The following is a 15,654-nucleotide window of genomic DNA, read 5'->3' as shown; positions in this document are numbered from 1 at the left end:
AGTTTTCCTGTGAGTCACTGGCTGCAGCAGCACTCTCTTCTCCCAGTAAGCTATGATTCTCTTTATTTGCTTGCCTCTACAGTTTTGGGGACAGCATTCGCCCTGTGACATTAATATTCTGTTGAATCTTAGAAGAGAGTTGATTTTCAGTTTATTCAGCTTTTTCCTTTTGTAAGGACAGAAATGATGACTACCAAACTTCTTATATGCCATCAGATTAGAAGGATTATTTTTTTAAGATAAGAAATAAAATGAAGAAAACCTCAACAGTATTCATCATCACAAAATCATTACTTTTTTGTATATGAAAATCTTAACTAAATACAAGTAAACTACTGAGCAGTGAGAGGTGAGAATATAAGAAAATTTATTATGGATTGTGCCAATATAGAATAAAATTAAATAGGATCTGAAACCTAAATTTTGAAAGAGTAATGAAAGAATAGTGAGCAAAACTTGATTCAAAAGAATCATATGACATTTCAAATATTACATTCATCTCCCCACACACTTGACACATGAGGAACTAAGACAATGGGAAATGAAATGTATTGGCCTGGACAGAAAAGTTTTTAGGAACATATACCCAGGTAGGAACATTGGCCACTCATGGACTCTCCTGCTCCCCAAGCAAACTCTGAAACTGATCTTGAGCTTACTCTTGTTTCTACTATATTATAGTGGATCCAGTAGTTCATGTAATGTCTTTATGTATCTGTCCCTCTCTCACCTTTGTGTTGTTTTCCTGTGTTGACTTCATTCTCAGGAATGCTTTTTCTATGGAGGCAAAACTGCTATTTTCATTCTCTGTCTATATAAATAAATGTATGCCTCCCTGTCTCCCAGTGCCCCTTTTTCTCTCTCTCCCTATTTATGCACTCATCCATCCATCCACCCATCATCCACATGTTTGACTGCCTCTCAGTCCCATGGTCACTCAGTCTTTCTCTCTTTTTTCTTATCTTTCCCTGTTCATCCTCTGTTGAGAAAGGAATTGATGGAGTGACAAAGACTGACAAAGATGGGTCTGGTGGGTCTTATGGTGAAGAGTGCTAAAACATCATGTCAGGAATCAAATTACTACATTTTTATAACTTGGGATGCCAGTTCTATTTACAATAAATATGTTTTTATCTGTATTTAATTTATTGTGTGCACTGGAACCAATTTATGCACACAGCTTGCTCTCATGTGTTTTGTACTATTTTGAGATCAAGTGTCATACCTTGAAATGTAAACTCACACCAGAGGAGCCTGATGTAGCCCAGCCCAGCCGTGGGCACCAAGTCAGCTCAGGTTCATACACTACAGGATTATTTTCCTTACTGCTTAACTGTCTGCCATGGTGTCCAACACCTGCCTAACAGCCTCTTGGGTCACCAGAGTCGGGATATTACCTCCTGCTTTCATGCTTTAAGCCTGGTGTACCTTGAGGATGCATTTAGCCCTCTGTAGCTGCCATATTCACTCTACCTGTGGTCACTCTGTCTCATTTCAAAATGTATATTTTATCCCTACATAAACTACAGTGCAAGAAAGGATCTTATTTTGCTATTTTTGGACATGGTTTTCTGGAATTCCATGAAAGTCATTTTGCAGTGACTTCCCTCATAGAACTGTAAGATTCTCATCTAACTCCAGAGTCACTGCATACCTGACTCATGAAGACCTTTTCTGTCTGCATGAGCCCCTTAGATGCTCCTTCTATTGAACTCAACCTGAGTTTACCTTCCACTCTGGACATGGGTCAGGGCTCTGATTCTACCCTCCAGAGGAAGGGCAGCCCCTGCTGCCCCTGTTCCATTTCTTGGCAGCTATTTGGGGTGCATGGTGTGTGGTGTTTGCTATAGAAGGATGCCACTGAAAGGTTCTTCTAAAGAGACTAGGGGTGGCATTGCTGAAGCCAGGAAACTCTCTTAGGGGTGGTATTTTAGTTTCTTTTCCATAGCAAGGCCTGAATAAAGGCCTGCATGAAGGGTAATCTTACATGTCTTCCCTCCCTTCTTTGTTTTTATTTTAAAATTTCTTAAAGAGATAAAACATTTTTCACAGGTCAATTTTCCTAGAAGCAAAGCCCAAGGTAAGAATTATTTTGAATTATTTACTAAATGAGCATTTTAGGAGAAGAGATAGGAAAGAAATGAGGTGGGGCAGAGGAAAGGGCCAGGTGAAAATGTGGTGTTGCTGGGGTCTAATCTCAGCGTGACCCTACATGTAGCATGACAGCACTATAGGTTTATCCCACTTCAAAGCAAGGGGACCAGTCTTTTGTATTCCTGTGTCAGATACCAATGGATGTGTATGCTGCCTGATATTTCAGGACAAGTGGAAACCATTGGCCAAAGGCAGTTCTTCAGAAAAGTATGCAGCTGTGAAATGTTAGCAGCCCACATGCCCAGCAATTGGGGATGAGTGCAGGGTCCTGATAAAGGAATCTGGGTTAACACAGGACAGGGCACAAATTACTGTTAGGAGAACCCTGCTTTCTTGCTTTTTTTTTTCTGTTATGCCCTGAGAACTTCTGTGCATGTAACGTGTCCTTGTGGAATAAAGGTTCATGAGCTCAGAGACTTTACATCTGAAAATCAAAACAAAATCTTTTTATGTCAAGGGTTGCCCTGCTTGTCCCCATCATGCCCAAGATAGTGGTGGACGCAAGGCGGTAACCTTAAAGTGTGTGTTGTTGAGTGGCTAGTGCACTTGAAGGAGAATGGCTCAATAACATCTCCAGAGCAGCTGTACATCCCAGTGGGTGGGGGGCAGTGGAGAGGTCATGGGGAGACAGTGGGTGGTCTTGCACAGAAAGTAACATGAAACTCTCAGTCCTGCCGACCACGAAATTCATTTGCAGCTCAGGGTCCAGCCAGTTTATGCTTCTTCACATCAAAACGTTTCAGACACAGCCAGGATCATGGAAAAATCATTGCAAAACTTGAGAGCCTTTAGTTTCAAGCAGCCAATTCCAGGAATATCCACAGGCAGCTGGCATTTTGCAGAGCATTAGGGGGAGCAAATCACTGGAGAAATTAGTTTACAAACTTTTTTTTTCAAAGTGAATGCAGAGCATAGTCATAGTCAGAGAATAAGGACTTTTTGCATACAATAATAATGTCCTTGAAAAAGCAATATAACAGCCCAATAAAGATCAAGGTGGGCTAAGAAATACATGGGGTTCCTACAAGAACAGAACAAAAATAAGTGAAAGACCAACTGAATAAGGATGGAAATTTCTGTGTCTAGGAAGAAATAAATGCTTTCCACAGAGCTCATTAGAGTCACCTTTTGCAGTTATTGAGCATATTTGTGTTTAAATTAATTGGATGGTGAAAAACACATGGCACATTTCCCTAATTCAGATAGCATAAGATGAAAGACAAAGAACCAACTCAATAACAGATTTTTTTTTCAAGAGAGGAGCATGACATAAAATGTAAACTCTGAGGGTAAGATGCATCTCAATTTCAGGAATATGAAGAATGTGAGGGTGGAAGGGAAGGGTGTGTGTTGGAATCAAAATGTGGGAATACAATAGTTTTCTTTCTGAAGTGCAAGTTTAATAATGCTCTAAAGTTTTATTATTTCACAGTATTTGCAGGTAAAGAAAATATGTAACTTGTTTTTTCCTCACCTGAGTATTATAGGAAGGATCCTAGTGTCAGGACTGGCCAAAAACAGGGCAGAGTCTCATTTTTTTCAAGGCCTATTCCTGTCTGGACTTTTGTCCATTAGAATGGGACAATAGCCATTTTCGTGTTTGGCATCTTCATGCAGGCGTCAGGAAGCTGAATTACAAAAAGGAGCTCAGAGCCAAAGAGACCTGAGAGCCTGCCCTGGCCACGGCAGCTCTTGAGGTCTTTGGTTTTCCAGGAAAAGACGTCGCGTGGGCCCGGGAGGCTGCGCTTCCAGGAAGGACCCTTATTATAAAGTTTAAAGGCAGGGGCTGCCGTTCCACATTCCTTAAGCTAAATTCACACTTGGGACCTTCAGCAGTGAATATGTATTTCCTTAGAAATCCCTGGGGTTATAATATTTATAGCCAGAGGTGGGGCTGTTCCATCTGGGAGGGTGTCTGATCCTTCAGCAGAGTTGAAAACCAATGTATACCCAGAGCGCATCCATCTTCATAACCACCCTGCAGGTTTGTACGAACAGGAAGAACAAAGGGCTTGACCAAATACTTATTGTGAATTTTCTGTGTGTTTAATGATCATCAGCTGTTGGTGAAAAAAATGAATAAATATTCAAAGCACTTTCAAGTTTTAATTATCTGTGTGAAGCCAAAGGAGTAAGGAAACCACAGTCCTTCAATTAAACACTCACAGGTAACCCAAACCTGTCACCTGTTCACTTTTCTGCCAAGATTTTTCTATACTGATTGCCTCAGGTGTGAGTGTGAATTGTGGAAAATGTCTAAAATGGAGCCATTAAGCACATCAGTACCAAGTGCATTTGTCTTAAAATACAATTTTGACACCTACTCTGTAAGTCCCAGAATTGGCCTTGAAGGTGAAAGGCGAACCAGACATTGTCCACCTTTGTCACCCTGATGTGCGCAGAGGCTGAGGGGACCTCACTCTTTCTTGCTGAGCTAGAAAAAAATGTGTGCGAGTCCAGGGGAGGGTGCCGTTTTTCCATCCTTTTCAGAAAGGATATTGATCATATCCTTTTCCTTCGTGTCATCACAGGGGCGGCTGCTCCAGGAAACCCGGCTCCTCCTTGATGAGGCTCAGGAACATGATTCCAGGGCAATGCACACCACATCCTGCCCCTCCCTGCGCATCCCTGAGGCTTCAGCGCCGCTCCCCTGGCTCCAGGCACATCTTGCCAGAAGCCCCTCTGTCCTGCAAATCAGCAAGACTTGCCTGGTCTTTTGATGGTTGAAAGGGTTTTTTTTTTTATTTTTTGCTCTGCAGAACATAAACATTCTGCCTCCAGTGTGTGTGCTGCTGAATCTGCTCCCCACATTACTGTAAGAAAAATTGTCCCCAAATTTACATCTGTGCATTAAATGACTCAGTGGTTACCCATTGCTGCTATATAACTTAATACTGACCTCGAGGGGTTGTTGTTGGAATAAAAGAGGCCTGTGTGAGTCGGTGTAGCTCATAGTCGGCACGCACTAGTGTGACATCACCCTCTTTGCTCCAGCTTCATGACCGGCCTTGCTGTGTTCTGACACCACAACTTTCAGTTGCTGATAATTCAGACTTCATCCGGACTCCTGATACTCCTGCGCTCTTTCTCTGGGTTAAGGACCAGGATTGCAGAGGGCATCCTCAATGGAAAGAGAATGCAGGTGGCTATGAACCCTGCAAGGTGCATAAAATCAAATTTATGGGCATAGAAAACAAAAGGAAGGCTGGAGATGGTGGCCTGTTCTCTCCGTGTGGAAACCCTTTTGTGAGTCACTCTCATTACGCTTCAGTTCCTCACATGACAACATTCCCCAGCAGCAAAGCAAATGGGTTCTTCAGCAAGATGGTGCCTTGTTTTGATTACTGGGGATTACTTAAGCCATGAAGAATAGCTTCCATGCTAGTGTCAGTAATGAAAAAGCCGTGGAGATGATGTCATTATTACTTATTTTTGAGCCCCAGTAGAATATTTGTTATTTGTTAGAACACCAGACCACGTAGTTTCTTACCACAGGGACTTCCAGTCTCATACCGTGTATAATGCACTCACCGTGTACAGTACAATAAACCAGATGATATGTCGTAAAAAGGCGGTCATCCTTACTTGGAGTTTCCCACTGCTGATTCTATTAACATTCAGTACAGACCCTTCATTCCAAAGATAGGCATCATACTGTCAGAGCCTCTTAGCGTGTTTACCAAGCTTGCCACCAGCTCATCAGCCCCCTTAACTTCCAGGAGTGGATCTGAGGAGCTCTGTGGTTTGCTCATGGTTACCTCTCCACCCTGGCCATGGTTCATTGGGCTGTATGTGGACCCTCATGCAGCTGCGCCTGTCGGGGTCCTGTTCTGAGAGTTCAGGACGGGACTCAGATGCCCAATCTGGGCAAGTCTCTTAAATGGAAGGAGCAGGGTCACATCTTACACCCACCAAAGCTCTCTAAAATCAGAGAGAATAAATAAGATGTCCAGAGGGAGGCAGCCCTGGCTGTGTGCTTGGTTTTGATCCTTTATAAGACATGGTCTCAAGTCTGGAGATACAAATTTCCCCTTTCGACTTAAGCTAGCTCACAGTGGTTGTTCCTTGAAAACAGAGTCCTTATCCAGTGTCTCCCACCAGCTCCAAAGCTGGATGCAAGAACATGAGTTTGCTGGGTATGCACATGAGCCAATGGTGCCGCCAGACTCTTTGAGCCCTCGGTGGCCTACCGTGGGGCCCTCAGGACCATTGGCTCAGTCTTGCCTCCTACAAATAAATGTTAAAAGCAGGCCAGGAAAGTAGTAATCTATACATGGCCCAGCAGTTTGGAAGTAGTTTTGCCCAAATGTGTGGTAGCCTACAAAAATCTAAATGCTCAGGGGCCAAGCCACTGACACATTTTAGATTTCTGCCATACTCAGAGAAATGTCAGATGCTGAGGGCTTTTCGGTTGCCTGCATACATTGGACATTTATGGATTTCTCTGTCCCATGTCTTGCAGCTCTTACTACCCAAGCCCTGTATTTTTACCCCTTCTACTTGTTACCTAGTTTGATTATACTGCTCATTGAGTTAGAGAGAGAGAGAGATAGGGAGGAAGGGAAAGAAAGACTAGAACCCAAGATCCCCTACTCCCACTTCCCAATTAATTCATTATTTGCTCATTCAACACCTATTTTATTGTGTTTCTGCTATGAGTTTGCCACTGTACTGGGCCTCTTGGACATAGTGGAGAACAACATTGGTGAGGGTCTTGTTTCCATGGAGCTTCTACTCTAGTGGAGACAAATATTAAGCCAATCATTACTACACAGAGGGAGAAGGCAATTGGTCTAAACTGGAGTAGAATCCATTGGATAGAGAACTCCCTAAGGAAGTGAAGCTTAGGCCTGAGCTCTTAAACATGTACAGAATTAAGTGGGGCCAATATATTTGTGCAGGATGTGATGGAGTGGGCATTCCAGGCAGAAGAAACAGCATGTGCAAGGGCCCTGTGGTGGGAGATGGCACGGTATGCTCCAGAGTCTGTGAGAAGGCCAGTGTGGCTAACACAGAGATGTAGGGAGCAGAACGAGGGAGGCCAGGCTGGCAACAAATCCTGGCTGTACCCAGGCCATTGTCCATGCCAAGGATTCTGGCTTTTGGTCTAACAGTGGGAAAATGGAAAGTCACTGAACTGGTTTAAGCTGGGGGATGAAGAGAAAATGTGTGTGCCTGAAATGTGCCAAGGTCCAAGTAAGAAATAATTGCAGCTTTGACTAGGAAATAACTGTGGATGTAATGGGAAGGGGAGAGAATTCAGAGTTATTTGGGGGCAAAAGTGATTGGATTTAGAAATGGATGGTATATGGGGGATGAAAGAGAGAGAAGTGTCAAGGATGGTTCTCAGGTTCAGACTTGCAGGACTGATGCAAGCCCCTCCTGAGGCCACATGCTTCTCCCCACCACTCCCTCCACAGGCACAACAATGACATGCAAAATAAGAAAGACTGTCTGAAAGTGGATTAGTACACAGAGGACACCAGCCAGTGCACCAAATACCCAGCAGCCCCCAGGGAGCCCCAGCATGGGTGCAGGGCATGGAAAGGCTCTCCCCACCAACCCCATGTCCACCACTGTCTTTGCCTTGTGACCCTCTTTGGCCAAGGAGTTGAAAAGTGAGGGCAGCAGTTGTAAGGGGGTTTGAGCTGTCATGCAGGAGGAGAGTACCCCTAGCTCCCATAGCCACTGAGAGTGGATATGGCAACTTAGGAACCATTGTTAACATGATTCTCCGTGTTTCAATCCTGACCTAGGCCAAAGAGAACCACAGGCTCTGAGAAAGTCCAGAGTTGAACACATACTCTCAGCAGGTTGGATTCTGAGCCTTAAAATGTTCTTTTATTTTTCTCAAAATTCAGGATGTGGCTTTGAAAATAAACAGATAGGTATCCTATAAGAATTAACACAGCAAGAGCCTCAGAGATGCTTCACCCTGCAATAGCATCTAGAGCTGAAGGTGTGAGTTCAGACTTCTCCACCTCTGCCCCTGGGACTTAAACCCTGGCCACCAGTCCCCTGCACATTGGCCTTCACTGACTCCCTGAGCATACTCGACCGTTCCCTACCCCAGGGCCTTTGTACGCACTGCTCCCTCTGCCTGGAATGTCATTCTGCTCTTCGTACTGCTAACCCTTCTCAATCTCCTGGACTCAGCCTAAACATGCCAAACACAGAGAGGTTTTCCTGGACCATCTGACCGAAAGGAGTCTCTGCCCCCAACTCTGTCGCTCTCCCTTATCTTAGTTCTTATTTCTACTTGCCGAATGATAATCACAATTTTCAATTATTTTCTTCATTAGCTTATCTACTTTTGTGATTGGTGTTTTTATTTTATTTTTTTAGCTCTTTCACAGGGATGTAAACTCCAAAGGGCATGCATCTTGTCTCCCTGGATTACTGAGTGTGCACTCAGCACCCAGCACTCAATGCCTAGTGCCTAGTCCTAGGTCTCAGTGTTTGTTGAAAGAATGAGTGAATTAACACACTGATGAATGGGTGGGCAAAAGGATGAACAAGAGAAAGAACAAAGGAAGAAATGAACAAACCCAGCTCTACCCTCACCCATGCTATTATTCTGACACCAAGAAACTTAGCAACTGGTGAAAAGAGAAGCCCACAAACAGGTATTTGTGAGTGTGTTGATAGGATTATGCCCAGGGTGCTATGGGCACCAAGGAGGAACCTAATTATTTAGGTACAGATGTAATGCAATCCCAAATGTCAGGCAATCCCCATTTTCCTAGTGAGAAGATATTTTTAAAAGATGTTTTGAAAACCACACTAATTTGGTATATGTGAATAAAATAGTCAAAGGTACACTTGTAATATTTTGTTCATTAATTGCATTACAGATACATGTTTAAAGTCACATATTATCTAAAATATTAATGTCCGGTTACTGCTCTTCTTTCACACTTATATTTTATAAAATTATTTTTTAAGTCTTATTTTGAAACAAATATAGATACATAGGAAGGTGCAAGGAAATGTACTAGGGTAGTCCCACACATTCTTCCCCAGCCCTCTAGTAGTAACAACTTAAGCATCCATAGTGCAAAATTAACTGCAGGAATCGACATTTGTACAGTCTATAGAGCTTGTTCAGATTTTACTGGTTTTATATGCACTTATTTTTGTGTATGTGTATGTGTTGTGTGTGTATGTATTGTGACTGTGTGTAGCAATTTGCAGTTTCATCACATGTGCAGCTGAATGTAACCACCAACACAATCAAGAAACCCCTACACCAGGCTCCCTCCTTGTGCCACCCCCTTATAGGTGTTCCTACACTCTCCCTCCCACCCCAACCCCAGACAACAACCAACCCATTCTCCATTTTTATCGTTTTACTTCATGAATGTCGTATAAATGGAATCATGGAGTATGTCGCATGGAGTATGAAATGATTACCACACAAGCTAATTAATGTATCCATAGCCTCACATACTTACATGTGTGTGTGTGTCTATGTACTGTGAACATTTAAGATCTACTCTCTTAGCAATTTCAATTATACAATCCAGTCCTATTAACTGTAGTCACGAATGCTGTACATTAGGGCTCCAGAACATGTTCATCTTGTTACTGAAAATTTGTTATCTTTTGACCAATTATCTCCCCTTTTTCCCCACCCACTGCCCCTGATAGCCTCCATTTTACTCTGTTAATATGAATTTGACTTTATAAAAAAAAGATTCCATATATTAATACAAGTGAAATCATGCAGTATTTGTCTTTCTGTGTCTTGCCTATTTCACTTAGCATAATATTCTCCAGCTTCATCCAACAGTGTAAAAGGGTTCACATTTCTCCACATCGTCTCCAACATCTGTTGTTTCCTGACTTTTTAATGATCACCATTCTAACTGGTGTGAGATGGTAACTCACTGTGGTTTTGATTTGCATTTCTCTGATGACCAGTGATGATAAGCATTTTTTCATGTGTCTGTTCACTGCATAATGTCTTCTTTTGGGAAGTGTCTGTTCATATCCTTTGCCCACTTTTTGATGGGGTCGTTTGTTTTTTCTTGTAAATTTGTTTAAGTTCTTTGTAGATTATTGATATTAGCCGTTTGTCAGATGGGTAGATTGCAAAAATGCTCTCCCATTCTGTAGGTTGCCTGTTCATTCTGATGGTAGTTTCTTTTGCCATGCAGAAGCTCTTTAGTTTAATTAGATCCCACTTGTCAATTTTGGCTTTTGTTGCCGTTGCTTTTGGTGTTTTAGTCATGAAGTCCTTGCCCATGCCTGTGTGCTGAATGGTATTGCCTAGGTTTTCTTCTAGGGTTTTTATGATTTTAGGTCTAACATTTAAGTCTTTAATCCATCTTGAATTAATTTTTGTATAAGGTGTAAGGAAGGGATCCAGTTTCAGCTTTCTACATATAGCTAGCCAGTTTTCCCAGCACAATTTATTAAATAGGGCATCCTTTCCCCATTTCTTGTTTTTGTCAGGTTTGTCAAAGATCAGATGGCTGTAGATGTGTGGTATTATTTCTGAGGCCTCTGTTCTGTTCCATTGATCTATATCTCTGTTTTGGTACCAGTACCATGCTGTTTTGGTTACTGTAGCCTTTTAGTATAGTTTGAAGTCAGGTAGCACAATGCCTCCAGCTTTTTTTTTTCTTTTTTTGCTTAGGATTGTCTTGGCAACGTGGGCTGTTTTTTGGTTCCATATGAACTTTAAAGTAGTTTTTTCCAGTTTTATGAAGAAAGTCATTGGTAGCTTGATGGGGATGGCATTGCATCTATAAATTACCTTGGGCAGTATGGCCATTTTCACGATAATGATTCCTTTTATCCATGAGCATGGAATGTTCTTTCATTTGTTTGTGTCCTCTTTTATTTTGTTCAGCAGTGGTTTGTAGTTCTCCTTGAAGAGGTCCTTCACATCCCTTGTAAGTTGGATTCCTAGATATTTTATTCACTTTGTCGCAATCGTGAATGGGAGGTCACTCATCATTTGGTTCTCTGTTGGTCTGTTATTGGTGTATAAGAATGCTTGTGATTTTTGCACATTGATTTTGTATCCTGAAACTTTGCTGAAGTTGCTTTATCAGCATAAGGAGACTTTTGGCTGAGATGATGGGGTTTTCTAAATATACAATCATGTCATCTGCAAATAGAGACAATTTGACTTTCTCTTTTCCTAATTGAATACGCTTTATTTCTTTCTCTTGCCTGATTGCCCTGACCAGAACTTCCAACACTATGTTGAATAGGAGTGGTGAGAGAGGGCATCCCTGTCTTGTGCCAAGTTTCAAAGGGAATGCTTGCAGTTTTTGCCCATTCAGTATGATATTGGCTGTGGGTTTATCATAAATAGCTCTTATTATTTTGAGATACGTTCCATCAATATCTAGTTTATTGAGAGTTTTTAGCATGAAGGCTGTTGAATTTTGTTGAAGGCTTTTTCTGCATCTATTGAGATAATCATGTGGTTTTTGTCTTTGGTTCTGTTTATGTGATGGATTACGTTTATTAATTTGCATATGTCGAACCAGCCTTGCATCCCAGGGATGAAACAAACTTGATTGTGGTGGATAAGCTTTTTGATGTGCTGCTGGATTTGGTTTGCCAGTATTTTATTGAGGATTTCCACATCGATGTTCACAGGGATATGGGTCTAAAATTCCCTTTTTCTGTTGTGTCTCTGCCAGGCTTTCGTATCAGGACAATGCTGGCCTCATAAAATGAGTTAGGGAGGATTCCCTCTTTTTCTATTGATGGAATATTTTCAGGAGGAATGGTAACAGCTCCTCTTTTTACCTCTGGTAGAATTCTGCTGTGAATCCATCTGGTCCTGTAGTTTTTTTGGTTAGTAGGCTATTAATTATTGCCTCAATTTCAGAGCCTGTTATTGGTCTATTCAGGGATTCAACTTCTTCCTGGTTTAGTATTGGGAGAGTGTATATGTCCGGGAATTTATCCATTTCTTCTAGATTTTGTAGTTTATTTGTGTAGGGGTGTTTACAGTATTTTCTGATGGTAGTTTGTATTTCTGTGGGATCGGTGGTGATATCCCTTTATCATTTTTTATTGCATCTATTTGATTCTTCTCTCTTCTTTATTAGTCTTGCTAGCAGTCTATCAATTTTGTTGATCTTTTCAAAAAAGTAAGTCCTGGATTCATTGATTTTTTGAAGGGTTTTTTTGTGTCTCTATCTCCTTCAGTTCTTCTCTGATCTTAGTTATTTCTTGCCTTCTGCTAGCTTTTGAATTTGTTTGCTCTTGCTTCTCTAGTTCATTTAATTATGATGTTAGGGTGTTGATTTTAGATCTTTCTTGCTTTCCCTTGTGGGCATTTAGTGCTACAAATTTCCCTCTACACACTGCTTTAAATGTGTCCCAGAGATTCTGGTATGTTGTGTATTTGTTCTTATTTGTTTCAAAGAATATCTTTATTTCTGCCTTCATTTCGTATGTACCCAGTAGTCATTCAGGAGCAGGTTATTCATTTTCCATGTAGTTGTGTGGTTTTGAGTGAGTTTCTTAATCCTCAGTTCTACTTTGATTGCACTGTGATCTGAAAGACAATTTGTTGTGATTTCTGTTCTTTTACATTTGCTGAGGAGTGCTTTACTTCCAATCATGTGGTCAGTTTTAGAATAAGTGTGAGGTGGTGCTGATAAGAATGTGTATTCTGTTGGTTTGTGGTGGAGAATTCTGTAGATGTCTATTAGGTCCACTTGGTGCAGAGCTGAGTTCAAGTCCTGGATATCCTTGTTAACCTTCTGTCTCATTGATCTCTCTAATATTGACAGTGGGGTGTTAAAGTCTCCCATTATTATTGTATGGGAGTCTAAGTCTCTTTCTAGGTCTCTAAGGATTTGCTTTATGAATCTGGGTGCTTGTGTATTGGGTGCATATATATTTAGGATAGTTAGCTCTTCTTGTTGAATTGATCCCTTTACCATTATGTAATGGCCTTCTTTGTCTCTTTTGATCTTTGTTGGTTTAAAGTCTGTTTTATCAGAGACTAGGATTGCAACCCCTGCTTTTTTTTGCTTTCCATTTGCTTGGTAGATCTTCCTCCATCCCTTTATTTTGAGCTTAAGTGTGTCTCTGCACATGAGATGGGTCTCCTGAATACAGCACACTGAGCGGTCTTGGCTCTTTAACCAATTTGCCAGTCTGTGTCTTTTAATTGGGGCATTTATCCCATTTACATTTAACGTTAATATTGTTATGTGTGAATTTGATCCTGTCATCATGATGTTAGCTGGTTATTTTGCCCGTTAGTTGATGCGGTTTCTTCCTAGCCTTGATGGTCTTTACAATTTGGCGTGTTTTTGCAGTGTCTGGTACCGGTTGTTCCTTTCCACGTTTAGTGCTTCCTTCAGGAGCTCTTGTAAGGCAGGCCTGGTGGTGACAAAATCTCTTAGCATTTGTTTGTCTGTAAAGGATTTTATTTCCCCTTCACTCGTGAAGCTTAGTTTGGCTGGATATGAAATTCTGGGTTGAAAATTCTTTTCTTTGAGAATGTTGAATATTGGTCCCCGCTCTCTTCTGGCTGGTAGAGTTTCTGCCAAGAGATCTGCTGTTAGTCTGATGGGCTTCCCTTTGTGGGTAACCCAACCTTTCTCTCTGGCTGCCCTTAACATTTTTTCCTTCATTTCAACCTTGGTGAATCTGACAATTATGTGTCTTGGGTTGTTCTTCTCGAGAAGTATCTTTGTGGTGTTCTATGTATTTCCTGAATTTGATTGTTGGCCTGCCTTGCTAGATTAGGGAAGCTCTCCTGAATAATATCCTGAAGCATGTTTTCCAACTTGATTCCATTGTCCCCATCACTTTCAAGTACACCAATCAAATGTAGACTTGGTCTTTTCACATAGTCCCATATTTCTTGGAGGTTTTGTTCATTTCTTTTTACTCTTTTTTCCCTAAACTTCTCTTCTCACTTTATTTCATTAATTTGATCTTCAATCACTGATACCCTTTCTTCCACTTGATCGAATTGGCTATTGAAGTTTGTGCGTGCATCACATAGTTCTCATGCCATGGTTTTCAGCTCCATCAGGTCATTTAAGGTCTTCTCTACACTGGTTATTCTAGTTAGCTGTTCATCTAATCTTTTTTCAAGGTTTTTAGCTTCCTTGCGGTGGGTTTGAACATCCTCCTTTAACTCAGAGAAGTTTGTTATTACCGACCTTCTGAAGCCTACTTCTGTCAACTCGCCAAAGTTATTCTCTGTCCAGCTTTGTTCCGTTGCTGGTGAGGAGCTGTGAACCTTTGGAGGAGAAGAGACCCTCTGGTTTTTAGAATTTTCAGCTTTTCTGCTCTGGTTTCTACCCATCTTTGTGGTTTTATCTACCTTTGGTCTTTGATGCTGGTGACCTACAGATGGGGTTTTGGTGTGGATGTCCTTTTTGTTGATGTTGATGATATTCCTTTCTGTTTGTTGGTTTTCCTTCTAACAGTCAGGTCCCTCAGCTGCAGGTCCGTTGGAGTTTGCTGGAAGTCTACTCCAGACCCTATTTGCCTGAGTATCACCAGTGGAGGCTGCAGAACAGCAAATATTGCAGAACAGCAAATATTGCTGCCTGATCCTTCCTCTGGAAGCTTAGTCCCAGAGGAGCACCTGGCTGTATGAGGTGTCAGTCAGCCCATACTGGGAGGTGTCTCCCAGTTAGGTTACAGGGGGGTCAGGGACCCACTTGAGGAGGCAGTCTGTCCATTTTCAGAGCTCAAACACCATGCTGGGAGAACCACCACTCTCTTCAGAGCTGTCAGACAGGGACATTTAAGTCTGCAGAGATTTCTGCAGCTATGCCCTGCCCCTAGTGGTGGAATCTACAGAGGCAGGCAGGACTTGAGCTGTGGTGGGTTCCACCCAGTTCGAGCTTCCCTGGCTGCTTTGTTTACCTACTCAAGTCTCAGAAATGGCAGACGTCCCTCCCCCAAGGCTGAGTAATATTTCTTTATATATGTATACCACATTTTCTTTATCCATTCCTTTGTTGACAGACACTTCTTTCCTGCTTAGCTACAGTGAATAATGCTGCAATGAACATGAGTGTAAAATATCTCTTTAAGATTGTGATTTATTTCCTTAAGATATTTACCCAAATGTAGGATGGTTGGGTTACATTGTAGTTCTATTTTTCACTTTTTGAGAAACCTTCATACTGTTTTCCATAGCGATTGTAGCAATTTACATTTCTGCCAATAGTGCACAAGGATTCCCTTTTCTCTGCATCTTTACCAACACTTGTTATCTTTTGACAGTTTGATAATACCGTCTTAATAAGTATAAGGTGGTATCTCATTGTGGTTTTAATTTGCATTTCCCTGATGATAGTGATGTAGAGCATCTTTTCATATATATGTTGAACATTTGTATTCTTCTTTGGGAAAAAAATGTCTATTCAGGTCCTTTGCCCACTTTTAAATCTTTTTTGTTACTAAGTTGTATGAATTCCTTATATATTTTGGATATTAATCCCTTATCAGATATCTGGTTTGCAAATATTTTCTGCCATTACATAGGTTGTC

General features: G+C 41.4%; 1 annotated feature.

Moving 5' to 3' along the window:
• Window positions 14,856-15,150: a silencer, noted in NCBI's record as "tiled region #15244; HepG2 Repressive non-DNase unmatched - State 12:CtcfO". NCBI's record gives its function as "represses a minimal TATA promoter and a strong SV40 promoter by Sharpr-MPRA in HepG2 cells {active_cell/tissue: HepG2}" and the evidence as "EXISTENCE:reporter gene assay evidence [ECO:0000049][PMID:27701403]".

This window comes from Homo sapiens, chromosome 20, assembly GCF_000001405.40.
Source record: "Homo sapiens chromosome 20, GRCh38.p14 Primary Assembly".
Classification (NCBI taxonomy): domain Eukaryota; kingdom Metazoa; phylum Chordata; class Mammalia; order Primates; family Hominidae; genus Homo; species Homo sapiens.
The sequence above is the reverse complement of the archived record's forward strand: the minus strand, read 5'-3'. Positions and strand labels throughout refer to the sequence as shown.